This window comes from Homo sapiens, chromosome 9, assembly GCF_000001405.40.
Source record: "Homo sapiens chromosome 9, GRCh38.p14 Primary Assembly".
Lineage (NCBI taxonomy): Eukaryota > Metazoa > Chordata > Mammalia > Primates > Hominidae > Homo > Homo sapiens.
The window spans coordinates 17,283,700-17,303,852 of NC_000009.12; the positions used below are offsets into that span (position 1 = coordinate 17,283,700).

The 20,153-nt window shown below is 41.1% G+C and overlaps 1 protein-coding gene across 16 annotated transcripts in view, besides 3 other annotated features; it reads left to right on the forward strand.

Moving 5' to 3' along the window:
- The window catches only part of CNTLN (centlein), a 393,595-nt gene that overhangs the window by 148,660 nt on the left and 224,782 nt on the right, over nucleotides 1–20,153 (forward strand). For 15 of the 16 annotated variants that reach the window (XR_007061321.1, XR_007061322.1, XR_929282.3 and 12 more), the window contains exon 7: nucleotides 14,491–14,653. Coding sequence is in view for 13 of the 16 variants with exons in the window: in XM_017014839.2 (XP_016870328.1) it covers nucleotides 14,491–14,653 (163 nt within the window). In the remaining 3 variants the exon portion in view is untranslated. Of the gene's footprint in view, nucleotides 1–14,490; nucleotides 18,348–20,153 lie in introns of those variants that run through there. The other variant, NM_001114395.3, reaches the window with a different exon arrangement.
- Nucleotides 7,019–7,624: an enhancer, noted in NCBI's record as "NANOG-H3K27ac-H3K4me1 hESC enhancer chr9:17290716-17291321 (GRCh37/hg19 assembly coordinates)". NCBI's record gives its function as "activates a minimal SCP1, AML or CMV promoter by ChIP-STARR-seq in naive H9 embryonic stem cells {active_cell/tissue: H9 hESC(naive)}" and the evidence as "EXISTENCE:reporter gene assay evidence [ECO:0000049][PMID:30033119]".
- Nucleotides 11,041–11,563: an enhancer, noted in NCBI's record as "H3K27ac-H3K4me1 hESC enhancer chr9:17294738-17295260 (GRCh37/hg19 assembly coordinates)". NCBI's record gives its function as "activates a minimal SCP1, AML or CMV promoter by ChIP-STARR-seq in primed H9 embryonic stem cells {active_cell/tissue: H9 hESC(primed)}" and the evidence as "EXISTENCE:reporter gene assay evidence [ECO:0000049][PMID:30033119]".
- Nucleotides 11,564–12,086: an enhancer, noted in NCBI's record as "H3K27ac-H3K4me1 hESC enhancer chr9:17295261-17295783 (GRCh37/hg19 assembly coordinates)". NCBI's record gives its function as "activates a minimal SCP1, AML or CMV promoter by ChIP-STARR-seq in primed H9 embryonic stem cells {active_cell/tissue: H9 hESC(primed)}" and the evidence as "EXISTENCE:reporter gene assay evidence [ECO:0000049][PMID:30033119]".

A 20,153-nucleotide genomic window follows, 5' to 3' on the forward strand; every position in this document is an offset into this window, starting at 1 on the left:
TTTTGCCCATTCAGTATGATATTGGCTGTGGGTTTGTCATAAATGGCTCATTATTTTGAGGTATGTTCCATCAATACCTAGTTTATTGAGCATTTTTAACATGAAGCGATGTTGAATTTTATCGAAGGCCTTTTCTGTGTCTATTGAGATGATCATGTGTTTGCTGTCTTTAGTTCTGTTTATGTGATGAATTAGATTTATTGATTTGTGTATGTTGAACCAGCCTTGCATCTTGGGAATGAAGCTGACTTGATCGTGGTGGATAAGCTTTTTGAATGTGCTGCTGTATTCAGTTTGCCAGTATTTTATTGAGGATTTTGTTTGTTTGTTTGTTTTTTTGAGACAGAGTTTCGCTCATGTTTCCCAGGCTGGAGTACAATGGCGTGACCTTGGCTCACTGCAACCTCCACCTCACAGATTCAAGCACTTCTCCTGCCTCAGCCTCCTGAGTAGCTGGGATTACAGGCGCTTCCAGTATGCCTCGCTAATTTTTGAGGATTTTGCATCAATGTTCAGGGATATTGGCCTGAAGTTTTTATTTTCTCAGGGTTTGGTATCAGGATGATACTGACCTCATAAAATGAATTAGGGAGCAGACCCTCCTTTTCAATTGTTTGGAATAGTTTCGGAAGGAATGGTACTAGCTCCTGTTTGCACCTCTGATAGAATTCAGCTGTAAATCCACTGGTCATGGGCTTTTTTTTGGCTGGTAGGGTATTTGTTACTGCCCCTTCAGAACTTGTTATTGGTCTATTCAGGGATTTAGCTTCTCCCTGGCTCAGTTTTGGGAGGGTGTATGTGTCTAGGAATTTATCTGTTTCTTCTAGATTTTCTAGTTTATTTGCATAGAGGTATTTATAGTATTATCTGAAGGTTGTTTGTATTTCTGTGGGGTCAGTGGTGACATCCCCTTTATCTTTTTTTGTTGTATCTATTTGATTCTTTTCTCTTTTCTTATTAGTCTAGCTTGCAGTCTATCCATTTTATTAATTTTTTCAACAAACGGCTTCTGGATTCATTGATTTTTTTGGAAGGGTTTTTCATGTCTGTATCTCCTTCAATTCTGCTCTGATCTTGGTTATTTCTTTTCTTCTGCTAGTGTTGTGGTTTATTTGCTCTTGGTTCTCTATTTCTTTTAGTTTTGATGTTAGGGTGTCAACTTGAGATTTTTCTAGCTTTTTGATGTGGGCAGTTAGTGCTATAAATTTCCCTCTTAACACTGCTTTAGCTGGATCCCAGAGACTCTGTGTGTTGTCTCTTTGTTATCATTGGTTTCAAAGAACTTCTTGATTTCTGCCTTAATTTTTTTTTTTTTTAATTATACTTTAAGTTTTAGGGTACATGTGCACATTGTGCAGGTTAGTTACATATGTATACATGTGCCATGCTGGTGCGCTGCACCCACTAACTCGTCATCTAGCATTAGGTGTATCTCCCAATGCTATCCCTCCCCCCTCCCCCCACCCCACCACAGTCCCCAGAGTGTGATATTCCCCTTCCTGTGTCCATGTGATCTCATTGTTCAATTCCCACCTATGAGTGAGTATATGCCGTGTTTGGTTTTTTGTTCTTGTGATAGTTTACTGAGAATGATGATTTCCAATTTCATCCATGTCCCTACAAAGGACACGAACTCATCATTTTTTATGGCTGCATAGTATTCCATGGTGTATATGTGCCACATTTTCTTAATCCAGTCTATCATTGTTGGACATTTGGGTTGGTTCCAAGTCTTTGCTGTTGTGAATAATGCCACAATAAACATACGTGTGCATGTGTCTTTATAGCAGCATGATTTATAGTTCTTTGGGTATATACCAAGTAATGGGATGGCTGGGTCAAATGGTATTTCTAGTTCTAGATCCCTGAGGAATCGCCACACTGACTTCCACAATGGTTGAACTAGTTTACAGTCCCACCAACAGTGTAAAAGTGTTCCTATTTCTCCACATCCTCTCCAGCACCTGTTGTTTCCTGACTTTTTAATGATTGCCATTCTAACTGGTGTGAGATGGTATCTCATTGTGGTTTTGATTTGCATTTCTCTGATGGCCAGTGATGATGAGCATTTTTTCATGTGTTTCTTGGCTGCATAAATGTCTTCTTTTGAGAAGTGTCTGTTCATGTCCTTCGCCCACTTTTTGATGGGGTTGTTTGTTTTTTTCTTGTAAATTTGTTTGAGTTCATTGTAGATTCTGGATATTAGCCCTTTGTCAGATGAGTAGGTTGCGAAAATTGTCTCCCATTTTGTAGGTTGCCTGTTCACTCTGATGGTAGTTTCTTTTGCTGTGCAGAAGCTCTTTAGTTTAATTAGATCCCATTTGTCAATTTTGTCTTTTGTTGCCATTGCTTTTGGTGTTTTGGACGTGAAGTCCTTGCCCATGCCTATGTCCTGAATGGTAATGCCTAGGTTTTCTTCTAGGGTTTTTATGGTTTTAGGTCTAACGTTTAAATCTTTAATCCATCTTGAATTGATTTTTGTATAAGGTGTAAGGAAGGGATCCAGTTTCAGCTTTCTACATATGGCTAGCCAGTTTTCCCAGCACCACTTATTAAATAGGGAATCCTTTCCCCATTGCTTGTTTTTCTCAGGTTTGTCAAAGATCAGATAGTTGTAGATATGCGGCGTTATTTCTGAGGGCTCTGTTCTGTTCCATTGATCTATATCTCTGTTTTGGTACCAGTACCATGCTGTTTTGGTTACTGTAGCCTTGTAGTATAGTTTGAAGTCAGGTAGTGTGATGCCTCCAGCTTTGTTCTTTTGGCTTAGGATTGACTTGGCGATGCGGGCTCTTTTTTGGTTCCATATGAACTTTAAAGTAGTTTTTTCCAATTCTGTGAGGAAAGTCATTGGTAGCTTTATGGGGATGGCATTGAATCTATAAATTACCTTGGGCAGTATGGCCATTTTCACGATATTGATTCTTCCTACCCATGAGCATGGAATGTTCTTCCATTTGTTTGTATCCTCTTTTATTTCATTGAGCAGTGGTTTGTAGTTCTCCTTGAAGAGGTCCTTCACATCCCTTGTAAGTTGGATTCCTAGGTATTTTATTCTCTTTGAAGCAGTTGTGAATGGGAGTTCACTCATGATTTGGCTCTCTGTTTGTCTGTTGTTGGTGTATAAGAATGCTTGTGATTTTTGTACATTGATTTTGTATCCTGAGACTTTGCTGAAGTTGCTTATCAGCTTAAGGAGATTTTGGGCTGAAACAATGGGGTTTTCTAGATATACAATCATGTCGTCTGCAAACAGGGACAATTTGACTTCCTCTTTTCCTAATTGAATACCCTTTATTTCCTTCTCCTGCCTAATTGCCCTGGCCAGAACTTCCAACACTATGTTGAATAGGAGTGGTGAGAGAGGGCATCCCTGTCTTGTGCCAGTTTTCAAAGGGAATGCTTCCAGTTTTTGCCCATTCAGTATGATATTGGCTGTGGGTTTGTCATAGATAGCTCTTATTATTTTGAAATACGTCCCATCAATACCTAATTTATTGAGAGTTTTTAGCATGAAGCGTTGCTGAATTTTGTCAAAGGCTTTTTCTGCATCTCTTGAGATAATCATGTGGTTTTTGTCTTTGGCTCTGTTTATATGCTGGATTACATTTATTGATTTGCGTATATTGAACCAGCCTTGCATCCCAGGGATGAAGCCCACTTGATCATGGTGGATAAGCTTTTTGATGTGCTGCTGGATTCGTTTTGCCAGTATTTTATTCAGGATTTTTGCATCAATGTTCATCAAGGATATTGGTCTAAAATTCTCTTTTTTGGTTGTGTCTCTGCCCGGCTTTGGTATCAGAATGATGCTGGCCTCATAAAATGAGTTTGGGAGGATTCCCTCTTTTTCTATTGATTGGAATAGTTTCAGAAGGAATGGTACCAGTTCCTCCTTGTACCTCTGGTAGAATTCAGCTGTGAATCCATCTGGTCCTGGACTCTTTTTGGTTGGTAAACTATCGATTATTGCCACAATTTCAGCTCCTGTTATTGGTCTATTCAGAGATTCAACTTCTTCCTGGTTTAGTCTTGGGAGAGTGTATGTGTTGAGGAATTTATCCATTTCTTCTAGATTTTCTAGTTTATTTGCGTAGAGGTGTTTGTAGTATTCTCTGATGGTAGTTTGTATTTCTGTGGGATCGCTGGTGATATCCCCTTTATCATTTTTTATTGTGTCTATTTGATTCTTCTCTCTTTTTTTCTTTATTAGTCTTGCTAGTGGTCTATCAATTTTGTTGATCCTTTCAAAAAACCAGCTCCTGGATTCCTTGATTTTTTGAAGGGTTTTTTGTGTCTCTGTTTCCTTCAGTTCTGCTCTGATGTTAGTTATTTCTTGCCTTCTGCTAGCTTTTGAATGTGTTTGGTCTTGCTTTTCTAGTTCTTTTAATTGTGATGTTAGGGTGTCAATTTTGGATCTTTCCTGCTTTCTCTTGTGGGCATTTAGTGCTATAAATTTCCCTCTACACACTGCTTTGAATGCATCCCAGAGATTCTGGTATGTTGTGTCTTTGTTCTCGTTGGTTTCAAAGAACATCTTTATTGCTGCCTTCATTTCATTATGTACCCAGTAGTCATTCAGGAGCAGGTTGTTCAGTTTCCATGTAGTTGAGCGGCTTTGAGTGAGATTCTTAATCCTGAGTTCTAGTTTGATTGCACTGCGGTCTGAGAGATAGTTTGTTATAATTTCTGTTCTTTTACATTTGCTGAGGAGAACTTTACTTCCCAGTATGTGGTCAATTTTGGAATAGGTGTGGTGTGGTGCTGAAAAAAATGTATATTCTGTTGATTTGGGGTGGAGAGTTCTGTAGATGTCTATTACGTCCACTTGGTGCAGAGCTGAGTTCAATTCCTGGGTATCTTTGTTGACTTTCTGTCTCGTTGATCTGTCTAATGTTGACAGTGGGGTGTTAAAGTCTCCCATTATTAATGTGTGGGAGTCTAAGTCTCTTTGTAGGTCACTCAGGACTTGCTTTATGAATCTGGGTGTCCTGTATTGGGTGCATATATATTTAGGATAGTTAGCTCTTCTTGTTGAATTGATCCCTTTACCATTATGTAATGGCCTTCTTTGTCTCTTTTGATCTTTGTTGGTTTAAAGTCTGTTTTATCAAGAGACTAGGATTGCAACCCCTGCCTTTTTTTGTTTTCCATTTGCTTGGTAGATCTTCCTGCATCCTTTTATTTTGAGCCTATGTGTGTCTCTGCACGTGAGATGGGTTTCCTGAATACAGCACACTGATGGGTCTTGACTCTTTATCCAATTTGCCAGTCTGTGTCTTTTAATTGGAGAATTTAGTCCATTTACATTTAAAGTTAATATTGTTATGTGTGAATTTGATCCTGTCATTATGATGTTAGCTGGTTATTTTGCTCGTTAGTTGATGCAGTTTCTTCCTAGTCTCCATGGTCTTTACATTTTGGCATGATTTTGCAGCGGCTGGTACCAGTTGTTCCTTTCCATGTTTAGCGCTTCCTTCAGGAGCTCTTTTAGGGCAGGCCTAGTGGTGACAAAATCTCTCAGCATTTGCTTGTCTGTGAAGTATTTTATTTCTCCTTCACTTATGAAGCTTAGTTTGGCTGGATATGAAATTCTGGGTTGAAAATTCTTTTCTTTAAGAATGTTGAATATTGGCCCCCACTCTCTTCTGGCTTGTAGGGTTTCTGCCGAGAGATCCGCTGTTAGTCTGATGGGCTTCCCTTTGAGGGTAACCCGACCTTTCTCTCTGGCTGCCCTTAACATTTTTTCCTTCATTTCAACTTTGGTGAATCTGACAATTATGTGTCTTGGAGTTGCTCTTCTGGAGGAGTGTCTTTGTGGCGTTCTCTGTATTTCCTGAATCTGAACATTGGCCTGCCTTGCTAGATTGGGGAAGTTCTCCTGGATAATATCCTGCAGAGTGTTTTCCAACTTGGTTCCATTCTCCCCATCACTTTCAGGTACACCAATCAGACGTAGATTTGGTCTTTTCACATAGTCCCATATTTCTTGGAGGCTTTGCTCATTTCTTTTTATTCTTTTTTCTCTAACCTTCCCTTCTCACTTCATTTCATTCATTTCATCTTCCATTGCTGATACCCTTTCTTCCAGTTGATCGCATGGGCTCCTGAGGCTTCTGCATTGTTCACCTAGTTCTCGAGCCTTGGTTTTCAGCTCCATCAGCTCCTTTAAGCACTTCTCTGTATTGGTTATTCTAGGTATACATTCTTCTAAATTTTTTTCAAAGTTTTCAACTTCTTTGCCTTTGGTTTGAATGTCCTCCCGTAGCTCAGAGTAATTTGATCGTCTGAAGCCTTCTTCTCTCAGCTCGTCAGAATCATTCTCCATCCAGCTTTTTTCCGTTGCTGGTGAGGAACTGCGTTCCTTTGGAGGAGGAGAGGCGCTCTGCATTTAAGAGTGTCTAGTTTTTCTGTTCTGTTTTTTCCCCATCTTTGTGGTTTTATCTACTTTTGGTCTTTGATGATGGTGATGTACAGATGGGTTTTTGGTGTGGATGTCCTTTCTGTTTGTTAGTTTTCCTTCTATCAGACAGGACCCTCAGCTGCAGGTCTGTTGGAATACCCTGCCATGTGAGGTGTCAGTCTGCCCCTGCTGGGGGGTGCCTCCCAGTTAGGCTGCTCGGGGGTCAGGGGTCAGGGACCCACTTGAGGAGGCAGTCTGCCCGTTCTCAGATCTCCAGCTGCGTGCTGGGAGAACCACTGCTCTCTTCAAAGCTGTCAGACAGGGACACTTAAGTCTGCAGAGGTTACTGCTGTCTTTTTGTTTGTCTGTGCCCTGCCCCCAGAGGTGGAGCCTACAGAGGCAGGCAGGCCTCCTTGAGCTGTGGTGGGCTCCACCCAGTTCGAGCTTCCTGGCTGCTTTGTTTACCTAAGGAAGCCTGGGCAATGGCGGGCGCCCCTCCCCCAGCCTGGCTGCCGCCTTGCAGTTTGATCTCAGACTGCTGTGCTAGCAATCAGCGAGACTCCGTGGGCGTAGGACCCTCCGAGCCAGGTGTGGGATATAATCTCATGGTTCGCCGCTTTTTAAGCCGGTCTGAAAAGCGCAATATTCGGGTGGGAGTGACCCGATTTTCCAGGTGCGTCTGTCACCCCTTTCTTTGACTCGGAAAGGGAACTCCCTGATCCCTCGCGCTTCCCAGGTGAGGCAATGCCTCGCCCTGCTTCGGCTCGCGCATGGTGCGTGCACCCACTGGCCTGCGCCCACTGTCTGGCACTCCCTAGTGAGAGAAACCCGGTACCTCAGATGGAAATGCAGAAATCACCCGTCTTCTGTGTCGCTCATGCTGGGAGCTGTAGACCGGAGCTGTTCCTATTCGGCCATCTTGGCTCCTCCCCTGATTTCTGCCTTAATTTCATTATATACCCAGGAGTCATTCAGGAGCAGGTTGTTCAGTTTCCATGTAGTTGTGTGGTTTGAGTGGGTTTCTTTATCTTGAGTTATAATTTGATTGCGCTGTTTTCTGAGAGACTGTTATGATTTCAGTTCTTTTGTATTTGCTGAGGAGTGTTTTACTCCCAAGTACGTGACTGATTTTAGAGTAAGTGCTATGTGCTATGTGTCGCCAAGAAGAATATATATTCCATTGTTTTTGGGTGGAGAGTTCTGTAGATATTTATCAGGTCCACTTGATCCAGAGCTTAGTTCATGTCCTGAATATCCTTGTTAATTTTGTCTTGGTGATCTGTCTAATATTGACAGTGGGGTGTTAAAAGTCTCCCACTATTATTGTGTGGGAGTCTAAGTGTCTTTGTAGGTCTCTAAGAACTTGTTTTATGAATCTGGGTGCTCCTGTGTTAGGTGCATATATATTTAGGATAGTTAGCAGTTCACATTGAATTGAACCCTTTACCATTATGTAATGCCCCTCTTTGTCTTTTTTGATCCCTGTTGGTTTAAAGTCTATTTTGTCAGAAACTAGGATTGCAGCCCCTGCTTTTTTCTGCTTTCCATTTGCTTGGTATATTTTCCTCCATTCCTTTATTTTGAGCCTATGTGTGTCTTTGCATGTGAGATGGGTCTCTTAAATCCAGCACGTTGATGAGTCTTGACTCTTTATCCAGCTTGCCATTCTGTGTCTTTTAATCGGGGCATTTAGCCCATTTACATTTAAGGTTAATATTGTTGTCTGTGAATTTGATCCTGTTATGATGGTAGCTGGTTATCAGACTTGGTGATGTAGTTGCTTTATAGTTTCATTGGTCTTTGTACTTCAGTGTGTTTTTGCAGTGGCTAGTGGTGGTTTTTCCTTTCTATATTTAGTGCTTCCTTCAGGAGCTCTTGCAAGGTAGGCCTGGTGGTGACTAATTACCTCAGCATTTGCTTCTCTGAAAAGTATTTTATTTTTCCTTAGCTTATGAAGCTTAGTTTGACTGGAAATGAAATTCAGGATTGGAAATCCTTTTCTTTAAGAATATTGAATAATGGCCCCCAATCTCTTCTCGCTTGTAGGGTTTCTGCTGAGAAGTTTGCTGTTAGTCTAATGGGTTTCCCTTTGTAGGTGATCTCCCCTTTCTCTCTGGCTGCTGTTAACATTTTTTTTCCCTTCATTTTGACCTTGGTGAATTTGATGATTATGTGTGTTAGGGCTGATCATCTCATGGAGTATCTTACGAGGGTTCTTTGGATTTCATGAATTTGAATGTTGGCCTATCTTGTTAGGTTAGGGAAGTTTTCCTAGATGATATCCTGAGGTATGTTTTCCACCTTGGTTCTGTTCTCCCCATCTCTTTCAGGTATCCAAGTCAGTCATAGGTTCGGTCTTTTTACATAATCCCAAAGTTCATGGAGGTTTTGTTTCTTTTCATTCTTTTTTCTCTCGTCTTGTCTGCCTTGTCTTATTTCAGCAAGATAGGCTTTAAGCTCTGAAATTCTTTCCTCTGCTTGGTCAGTTTGGCTGTTGATACTTATGGTTGCATTGTGATGTTCTCAGGTTGTGTTTTTCAACTCCATTAGGTTATTTATGTTCCTTTCAAACTAATTATTCTGGTTAACAGCTCCTGTAATGTTTTATCATGGTTCTTAGCTTCTTTGTATTGGGTTAGAACATGTTCCTTTGGCTCAGCTAAGTTCATTGTTACCCACCTTCTGAGGCCTACTTGTGTCAGTTCATCCATCTCCACCTCCGCCCAGTTCTGTGCTCTTCCTAGAGAGGTATTATGATCATATGGAGAAGAGGCACTTTGGCTTTTTGAATTTTCATTGATTCTTTCTCATCTTTGTGAGTTTACCTAGCTTTGATCTTTCAGTTTGCGAGGACCTTTTTGTTGATGCTGTTATTGTTGTTGCTTTCTGTTTGTTTTTCTTTTGACATTCAGGCCCCTCTTCCGGAGGGCTGCTGTGGTTTGCTGGGGGTCACTCCAGACCCTATTCACTTGGGTCCCTTCTGCACCTGCAGGTATCAACAGTGGAAGATGCAGAATAGCAAAGATGGCTGCCTGCTACTTCCTCTGGCTGGGATCTTCGTCCCAGAGGGGCACCAACCTGATGCCAACAGGAATGCTCCTGTATAAGTTATCTGGCAACCCCTGTTGGGGTCTCACCCAGTCTGGAGGCAGGGGTTCTGGGATCTGCTTAATGAAGCATTCTGGCTGCCCCTTGGCGGAGCGGGTGCGCTGTGCTGTGGCGAATCTCAATCATCTGGACTGCCTGGATTCCTCAGAGCTGGCAGGGGGAAAGTCTAAGTCTGCTAATCTGTGAATACTGTGGCTGCCTCTCCCACTAGAGGCTCAGTCCCAGCGACATCAGAGTTCTGTCCCTAAACCCCTGGCTGCAGTTGCTGAAATTCCTGCAGGAAGGTCCCACCCAGTGAGGAGGGATGGGTTAGGGTTCCGCCTGAAGAGGCAGTCTGGCCATGATCTGCCATAGCCATAGCCACTGTGAGTGCTGTGGGGAATTCCATCTGGGTCCAAACCATCTAGTCTTCCTGGCACTGGCAGGGGAAAATTGGCAGACTGGAGCTGCAGTGATGGCTGCCACCCCTTGCCCCTACTCCCCGGGAACTCAGGCATCTTAGGCAAAAGGCAGGGTGGTGATGATGACCTCCCCTTCCATTAGGAAGTTGGTAGTCGTAGGTAGTCACCAGCCCATTGGCTGCTGAGAGGCCACCAAGAGGCTGCCGAGAATCTGGACAGCTCTGCACTTGGGACCCAAGGCCCTGGTGGCATGGGCTCATTGGGGGACCTCCTGATCTGTGGGTAGCACGGATCCGTGGAAAAAGCGTGGTTTCCCAGGCAGGGTAGTAGTGTGTCCAGAATTGGTGCGTTCTTGGTCTCACTGACTTCAAGAATGAAGCCACGGACCCTTGCGGTGAGTGTTACAGTTCTTAAAAGCGGCGTGTCCGGAGTTTGTTCCTTCTGATGTTCAGATGTGTTTAGAGTTTCTTCCTTCTGGTGGATTCGTGGTCTCGCTGGCTTCAGGAGTGAAGCTGCAGACCTTCGAGTGTTACAGCTCATAAAGGCAGTGTGGATCCAAAGAGTGAGCAGCAGCAAGATTTATTGCAAAGAGTGAAAGAACAAAGCTTCCACAGTGTGGAAGGGGACCCAAGGGGGTTGCCACTGCTGGCTCTGGCAGCCTGCTTTTATTGTCTTATCTGGCCCCACCCACATCCTGCTGATTGGTCCATTTTACAGAGAGCCGATTGGTTTTACAGAGAGCTGATTGGTCCATTTTGACAGGGTGCTGATTGGTGCGTTTACAATCCCTGAGCTAGACACAAAAGTTCTCCAAGTCCCACTAGATTCTTTAGATACAGAGTGCTGATTGGTGCATCCACAAACCCTGAGGTAGACACACGGTGCTGATTGGTGTGTTCACAAACCTTGAGCTAGATACAGAGTGCTGATTGGTGTGTTTACAATCCCTTAGCTAGACATAAAGGTTCTCCAAGTCCCCACTAGACTCAGGAGCCCAGCTGGCTTCACCCAGTGTATCCCGCACAGGGGCCACAGGTGGAGCTGCCTGCCAGTCCCGTGCCCTCCACCAGCACTCCTCAGCCCTTGGATGGGACTGGCTGCCGTGGAGCAGGGGGCAGAGCTCGTCGGGGAGGCTGTGGCTGCGCAGGAGCCCACCGCGGGGGGAGTGAGGGGAGGGAGGGGGGGAGGGTGGGGGGGAGTGGGCGAAGGGGGGAGGGCGGGGAGGAGGGGGGAGGGCGGGGAGGAGGGAGGAGGGCGGAGGGAGTGGGGGGAGGGGGGAGTGGGGAGTGGGGGGAGGGCGGGGGGGAGTGGGGGGAGGGCGGGGGAGGCTCAGGCATGGTGGGCTGCAGGTCCCCAGCCCTGCCGCACAGGGAGGCAGCTAAGGCCCGGTGAGAAATTGAGAGCAGCGCCGGTGGGCCAACACTGCTGGGGGACCTGGTGCACTGTCCGCGGCTGCTGGCCTGGGTGCTAAGCCCCTCACTGCCGGGCTGGCGGGGCTGGCTGGCCGCTCTGAGTGCGGGCCGCCAAGCCCACGCCCACCCGGAACTCTAGCTGGCCCGCAGGCGCTGCACGCAGCCCCAGTTCCCGCCCACGCCTGTCCCTCCACACCTCCCTGCAAGCTGAGGGAGCCGGCTCTGGCCTTGGCCAGCCAAGAAGGGGACTCCCAAGGTGCAGCGGCGGGCTGAAGGGCTGCTCAAGCGCCGCCAGAGTGGGCGCCGAGGCCAAGGTGGCGCGGAGAGCGAGCCACGACTGCGAGGGCTGCCAGCACACTGGCACCTCTCAGTAGGTCGATCACTCACCATTTCCCTTGGCTGGTGGTAGGAGCTCGCATTACTCTGTGTGGCTCCCAGGTGGGCCGTCGCACCACCCTGCTTTTCCTTGCTCTCTGTGGGTTGTGCCAGCTGCCTAGTCAGTCCCAATGAGAGAACTTGCATACCTCAGTTGCCGGTGCAGGATTCACTCATTGTTTTTGTTCTTCTTGGTGGGGGGCCTCCGACCACAGCTGTTTCTAGTCGGCCATCTTGGCCCGCCCTGTTTTTCTTTACTTATTTTCAAATGAGGAAAGATCTGGACAAATTCAGTGCTTTCCGCTGGTTCAGATGTGTGAGTTGTGCGAGCTTTGCTTGCTTTTTGTATTTGCAACATTGGTGTACATATCATCACTTGTACTTTCCCGAGGGTTGTGTGGGGCGATAGAAATAAACATATCTACATAGTATAAGAGTATCCTTCAATTCCACTTATTGAGAGCATGCCCAGAAAATACCATGAGGTGGTAGAGAAAAATGTGCTTTTTCCCAGGTTGATTTTTAATTTGCAAAGAGTAATAATAGTATGAGCATCTCCCTACTCTTCAGTGAGAGAGAGAGAGAGAGAGAGAGAGAGAGTGTGTGTGTGTGTGTGTGTGTGTGTGTGTGTGTGTGTGTGTTAGATGGAGTCTGGCTCTGTCACCCAGGTTGGAGTGGGGTGGTGCGATCTCGGCTCAGGATCAAATGATTCCTCTGCCTCAGCCTCCTGAGTAGCTGGAACTACAGATGTATGCTACCATGCCCAGCCAATTTTTGTAATTTTTGTAGAGACGGGGTTTCACTATTGGTCAGGCTGGTCTCGAACTCCTGACCTCAGGTGATCCATCTACCTCAGGTGATCCACCTGCCTCGGCCTCCAAAGTGCTGGGATTACAGGTGTGAGCCATCGCACCCTGCCTAGTGTGTTTCTTTTGACTAAAGATACATATATTTTGTTGTACGTTGTCCTTAAATGCAGACCAGCTACGGATTCGGGCCTTCTCATTAAGAAATACCAAATGTCTTCTAACATGGGAATATAAATAAATTTGCTATGTTTTAACACTGTATTGAAAGATGATATGTTTTATCTTCATCATGTCTCTTTTCTAAATGTGACATTTTTTTAGGCCTCCTGGCTAACGTATCTTAACTGTGATGGAATTTTCTCCTGCCCTGTTGCGTATTTCCTTTGATAATTTTTGCTAATGTTATTAGTGAAAAATGGCAGTAATCATCATGCATGATTACTGTGGGTCTTTTTTCCCCTCCTCTTGTATTACATTTCCTGAAGGCATTGTGCCATTATTGGTTCTCTTCTCTCCCCTTTCCCGTTTTTGACTGCTATTTTCTGCATGTTTCAGTTTTTTGAATTGTTACAGGAAAATTGTGTATATCCATGTATCTGTATGGATGCAGGGGTTGTGGTTGTGGTTTGAGAACATTAATGTTCTAAATCTCTAAGGAGCGGAACTCCTTGCTCCCATACTAATTTTCATCCATGTTCAACAACTGTCTCCGTATCTCTTTTATTCCTTCTTTCTTTTAAGACATTTTATGTGAATGAATGACTAGTTTAAAGTTATAGGTAAAAATAAGTTCCATTAAGAAATACAATCTTCAAAATATTATGTAAGTACAATCGGCCTTTCATATCCATGGATTCCATATCCACGGATTCAACCAATCATGAATTGAAAATATCAGGTGAAGAAAAATGAGTGGTTGCATCTGTACTGAACGTGTACAGACTTTTTTCTTGTCATTATTCCCTAAACAATACAGTATAACATTATTTGCATAGCATGTACTTTGTATTAGGTATTATAAGTAATCTAGAGATGACTTAAAGTATTTGGATGTGCATAGATTATATTCAAAACTACATCATTTTATATAAGGACTTGAGCATCTGTAAATTTTCATATTCAAAGTGGGTCTTGAAACCATTCTCCCATAGATAATAAGAGACTACTGTTTATAGTATATTTTGATGTAATAGTGCTTTATAAATATTTCTCGGTTCAAATTAATTATACAAAAGAATTCCCAGTTTGTATAATCTGTATCACACAGGATTCACAACCACAGCAATCTGGAAACCTCTATCTCAAAGGTGTAGTTCTCCTAGACTCTTAGTGCCATCATTACCACCACCAGTTCATTTGTCCTCCTGCTTATCAGTTTCATCCTGGGTAGGTTCGAAGGACTGGATTTTTCTTGTGACTTTCTGACTCTTTTACCTCATCAGTTCCTTCAAGCTGAGTTAGAGGAGTCACAAGTATCCCAGCCCAGGACCCTGAGGTTACAAACTAGAATTGGCAGTTGTGCTTTAAGGAACTTTGGTTTGAAAACTTAAGTTTGCCCTTTGGGATTCTTTTTAATATATTTAAAGTTCTGTATAGTAATATAAAATGAAAGGTTGACGTACCCTTTGTTCAAAACTGTCTAATAACTATAGCTGATCTTACCACTTGTTAATTCTTGAAACTGAAGTGTTTACTTAAATAAAAGGTTGTACTATGTATATCCATGGTTTTTATTACTATAAAGCTACAAAAGAAAATTAATATGTATCTGGCTTTGAAAGTCATAGTCGTTGTATCAATACTTTCTGTGTGTATGTGATAAATATTAAATATGTCATTATTTCTTTTATTAATAAGTTTGCCTGCAGTACAAATAACAGATGCAAAACAGGATGCCAATCTGTAACCTTAGATGAACACAATTATTTAACTGAGATGATCTTTATCCATACTTTTCTCTATTTATTGCTTGCTTTGCACAGGAAGGAACTGCAGGAGCTGCAGAATCTTTACAAACAGAACAGTACACATACAGCCCAGCAAGCAGAGCTGATCCAGCAGCTTCAGGTTCTCAATATGGACACACAAAAAGTACTGAGAAATCAGGAAGATGTTCACACAGCTGAAAGTATATCATATCAAAAAGTATGCTTTTATTCTGTAATAAAGATGTAAATGTTTATGTATGAACTTATGAACATATATAGAATTCAGATTTTTTCAAATTTCAGCATTTAATTTTTACTTCCTTTTACATGTGTTTCCTCAAAATTTAGAAGTGAAGGATGGTTCAATTTGATAACATTTAAAATTTTTTGAATTTTCTTTATGGTAATTAGAGCTGAATCACTTAAAATATAGATACAAACTTACTCTATAGGGTATTATTTTTATAAATTGGCATTCAGACAGCTTCTGTGAAACATACTAGGAGTATAGTCTCAAAACTGGAATGGAATTCCTCGGCCTGCTATTACAAGAAATTATTTTGTCAAGTATGGCAGACTTTCATTGTAAAATTTGTACATTATTTTTCGGCAAATCTTCACAAATACAAAGGGGATTGCTGAGGAGGGCTTTAGGATCAATATTTTCCAGGATTTTTCTCTGTTTATTTTGTGTGTTTCTGTTCAGTAGTCTTTTACTTTACAGTTGTTTTAGGAGCCTTTCAAGAAGGTTTACCCAAGTATTTAGGTGTGCTAACTGACTCAGCAGCAATAATTTAATCTACTAATTAAAAAAAATACCTTTATTGGCCGGGCATGGTGGCTCATGCCTGTAATCCCAGCACTTTGGGAGGCTGAGGCGGGCGAATCACAAGGTCAAGAGATCGAGACCATCCTGGCCAACATGATGAAACCCTGTTTCTACTAAAAATACAAAAAGTTAGCTGAGCATGGTGGTTCATGCCTGTAGTCCCAGCTACTTGGGAGGCTGAGGCAGGAGAATCACTTGAACCTGGGAGGCGGAGGTCGCAGTGAGCCAAGATCGCACCATTGCACTCCAGCCAGGCGACAGGGGGAGACAACGTCTCAAAAAAAAAAAAAAAAAAAAAAAAAACCTTTACTGAATTCTTCATATGTTTTGTGTAGTGTGCTAAATTATTTTAATAAATAATGTAGTTTATATAGTGTTATTCTCATTTAATGATAGTAGTTGAGGCAAGTGAGGCTTAGAGAGGTTAAATAATACACAGTTCATATTATCCCTCTAGAATTACTGGATTTTTACTTCTGATCTTACTTTTCTAAAAAATCACTGTGAAAATCGAATGTCTATAATTAACATGAAATTAATTACCTTAAAACTTAAACACATATTTTTAAATGATGCTTTGTAACAGTGGTTTTCAGTGTGTGTTTTGTGTTGCCTTTGTGTTTTCCCAAGGACCTAGATGATAGCAAGCAGGAAGATACAGTCTTCCACTTCAGCTAGAGCAGTGCTGCCTTTTTGTTTTATGGGGTGACATTGCCCACTGTGTTTTTTGTTTCTAAAGCACGTTCCATTGCTAAAATGATTTGAAACACTGTACTTTATTAATACTTGTTAATTGTTATTAATACTAATTAATTGTTTTCTCTTTTTCCCCCATTGATGACTTTCTGTTGCTTGGAACATTTTTTTTCTGTTGCTTGAAACATTTTTTTCCCCTCTTGGCTTCCATTGTACTATAATTGGGTGGCTTTCTTCCTTCAGTTTTTAGCTGTCCCTTTTTAATTTCTTTGTGGTCCTCCCCAGTCTCCATGTCCTGTAAAGTGTGAAAATGTTCCAGGCCTCACTCTTAGGATCTCTCCTTTTTTTTCTGTTTATCCTCACACCCTAGGTGATTTCATCTAATCACCTTGACTTTCAAAGTTACACTGCAGGTTCAATATCCCTTATCTGAAGTGCTTGGAACCTGAAACCTGAAGTGCTTCACATTTTTAGCTTTTGAGATTTTGGAATATTTGCATTACATTTACTGGCTGAGCATCCCAAATCTGAAAAATTGAAATCTGAAATGCTCCAATGAGCATTTCCTTTGAGCATCATACTGGTGCTCAAAAATGTTTTGGATTTTGGAGCATTTCAGATTTTTTGATTTGTATGCTCTACCTGTGTCTATAGGCTGATGATTCCCAAATTTGTAAATTTGTTTATCTACCTTGGATCTCTTCTGTATACTCTAGGAAAGAGTATATCTAATTGCCTACTTAATATCTCTTCACTTGGATTCCTAATGGGCATCTCATACTGAACGTGTTCAAAACAAAGCTATTGCCTTTTATGTTTTCAGTACAGGTGCAGAATTCGACTACTTCCCACCACCCTTGCTGTCACCATTCTGTCCAGGCCACTATCACATATTACCTGGATTATTGCAGTAACTTGCCAGTTTCTTTGTTCTGATCTTAAGCCTTTTGACATAGGTGCCAGGATATTATTGCCAAAACTTTGTGAGTCAAATCAGATCACTGCTCTCTTCAAGTCCCTCCAGTGGTTTCCCAGACCATTAAAAATAAAAAACCTAAGTTCTTACTACAACCTGTGGGACTCTACATGTTCCGACTCTACATTACCTCTCTGATCTCATCTTTGCCTTCTTTTCTTATTCACTCCAGCAACACAAACCATGTTTTTATTCCTTGAACATAACAGGTATTTAACCTTTCAAGGTAATACTTTCTTCCAGTGCCTGAAAGCTTTCCTGCCCAGTTATCTGCATAGATACCATTTTACTTCCTTTATTCTACAACTCTTACAGTTTAAAATTAGTTGATAGCAGACATTAAATGGTAGAAGCAAGAAAAGAATGATGTATGTTGTAATAGTAGTAGAGGGAAATATGGGAGCATAACTGGGGGCCTGTTCCAAGACTAAGGATAAAGAAAGCTCTCCTTGATGGTGTCATACCAGTAATACTTTGCTGAGAAGATAAGATATCAAAGAGACAAATTAATTTCTGATAACTTTTCCAAATGGACTCTAGTTCAAACCAGAAATTCCCTAGTGTATGTCTTTACTAAATTGGGAGAAGTAGAGCTTATATGCCCCTATTTGGCGAACTTGCCGTAACCTAAATTGTGATCTGGGGTACATTTTGAAACCGTAAACACTTTTCTTCTAGGATTATGTTTATCCCTTCCAAGAATCATTATAGAAAATGAGAGATGTAAATGATGGGGTTATGTTGTGTTTGTGAATGATATTGAGGCAGAATAAAAATAAAAGAGAACAAACTGAGATGTGCTAACCTAATAATTGGCTTACTTTTCCTTGTGTTTAGTCTGTTTTTTGTCATTTCTTTCTCTAGATTGAATATCATTTTTCTTTTATTTTTGTTTCTCAGAGATTACCTTGGGGAGTGTGGGAGTAGGGGGCTTCACTGATACTTAAGTTGATTCTCACTTTGAAATTGTACCTCCCACTGTAATATTTTAATTTTGTAGTTGTTTTAGATGCTTGTAGTTGTTCATACAGTTTTCATTAGTATCCTCAACTAGACTCAATTTGAAAATATTCTTCTTATTTATTTATTCTTTATAAATTTTGTCTACAGTTAGTAGACATTACAATTGTTTTGGTGGCTGTATGTAGTTATTTTAAAAAACAAAGTCTTTTATAATTCCATCTCCCAGAGGCAAATACTGTGAACATTTTGAATATTTCACTTTTAAAAATGCATCTTAACATATTTGTTAGCACACTAGTATTTTTCACTTTAACATTATATTTTAAAAAATCATAACATATAACTATTTTAGATGGTCATATAATTTATTTTTCTACTGTTGGTTATATATGTTATTTGTTTTACTATTGTAAATAAAGCTGCAATAAACATTTCTTTGTCAGTTCAGACTATTACTATTCATTATAGTGTACTGACTACACATATGTGTACACACACACACACACACACACACACACACAGACACACACACACTGACCTATCCACCCAGGGAAGACTTCCTTTTATGAAGCTATAACATCATATTAACCATATGCAATTCACTTTTTTTTTTTTTTGACAGTGTCTCACTCTGTTGCCTAGGCTGGAGTGCAGTGGCACGATCTCGACTCACTGCAACCTCTGCCTCCCAGGCTTCAAGCAATTCCCCCACCTTAGCCTCCCCAGTAGCTGGGACTACAGGCACGTGCCACCACACTCAGCTAATTTTTGTACTTTTCGATAGAGACTGAGTTTCACCATGTTGACTAGGCTGGTCTCGAACTCCTTACCTCAGGTGATCCATCCGCTTCAGCCTCCCAAAGTGCTGGGATTATAGGTGTGAGCCACTGTGCCTGGCCCAATTCACTTTTAATTAGTTCGTACATAACATACCCTTTTAAAATTATGCCATAATAAGAATGTACGGGGGTCATGGATTCTAAGGGGACCTGCCTACTACATGATCAGTAAACGTTAAGTTACTGAAACTTGAGACATTGCATGCTATGATGTCCCACTTTGGATAATGCAATTTAAAAATCATAATTGTATTTTAAAACTTTATGGCGATGTTTCTATTTTAATTTAAATATTACTCTAGTCCATTTAATGTTTGACTTTGGGTGGATGAATGGTTCTGCAGTGGTGAAAAATGTGGAGAAACAAAATACAAGTGAGAAGTCCTTCCAGTTAGATCACAGTTATAAAGACAGAATGTAAAATTGTACTATAAGCCAGGGAGAATCTGAGTTTCCATTTACACAAATTATTTTAGAAATGTTTTATGTAAATCGAGATAAAAATGTAAATTGCTCCTAGTAACCATATAATAATAATAGTTAACATTTTTTAGCTTATTGTGTATCAGGCACTGGCGATAGGGCTTTTGCCTGATTGTTTAAGCCTCGCACCAACCTGATGTGGTATTGTTATTTTTATCCCTGTTTGTAGATCAGGTAACTGAAGCTTAGAGTGTTGTCTAAAGTCAAACAGCTACCTGTGTAGAATTCAGATCTAGGTAATCTTGGGTCCAGAATGCAATTCTTAAACTTTATTATAAAGCCAACAGTATAGTTCAGTTTTAAATGGAAAGGTGAGGTCTTATCCCTAAAAGCCTCGGTAAACAGATTCTACAAACTTGCATTATCCATTCTCATCCAAATTTTTTCAACACTTAATAATTTCTAATGTTGGAATATTTATCCTGATATCTAAGTTAAATGTTATTCAGAAGATTTCATTGCTCTCTTTTTGGTGACCAGAGTATAGCAGTTACCTTTCTCTGTGAAAAGGGCTTCCATCATTTTTCTCTGGCCATTGTTTCTCCTGATTGTATCCATTTGGTTTCTTTTATCTTGCTATTACATCACACTTTTTAACTTTTTGAGCTTCTGAAGATTTTTTACTAACGCTTTTTTTTTCTCCTCAAAAATGTAGTAGTTGTGTAGTGCAGGATTTTAAAATTTGTGAATGATCACATTGCCTTATTTGTCAGGTGTGTTATTGTTCATACTTTAGTGTTCATTTATGTCAGATTATTCATTCTTATTCTAGAGCATTATATGTATTGTCTTTATTCCTTGTCTACACATATTTTTAGATTGTTTTCTAATTTGAATAATCTTGCAATAATGAGATGAAATTATTTATTCAAAATTTCAAACATTTTCACATAGATTCATTTTAATATTTTCGAATAATAATTGGGATTTA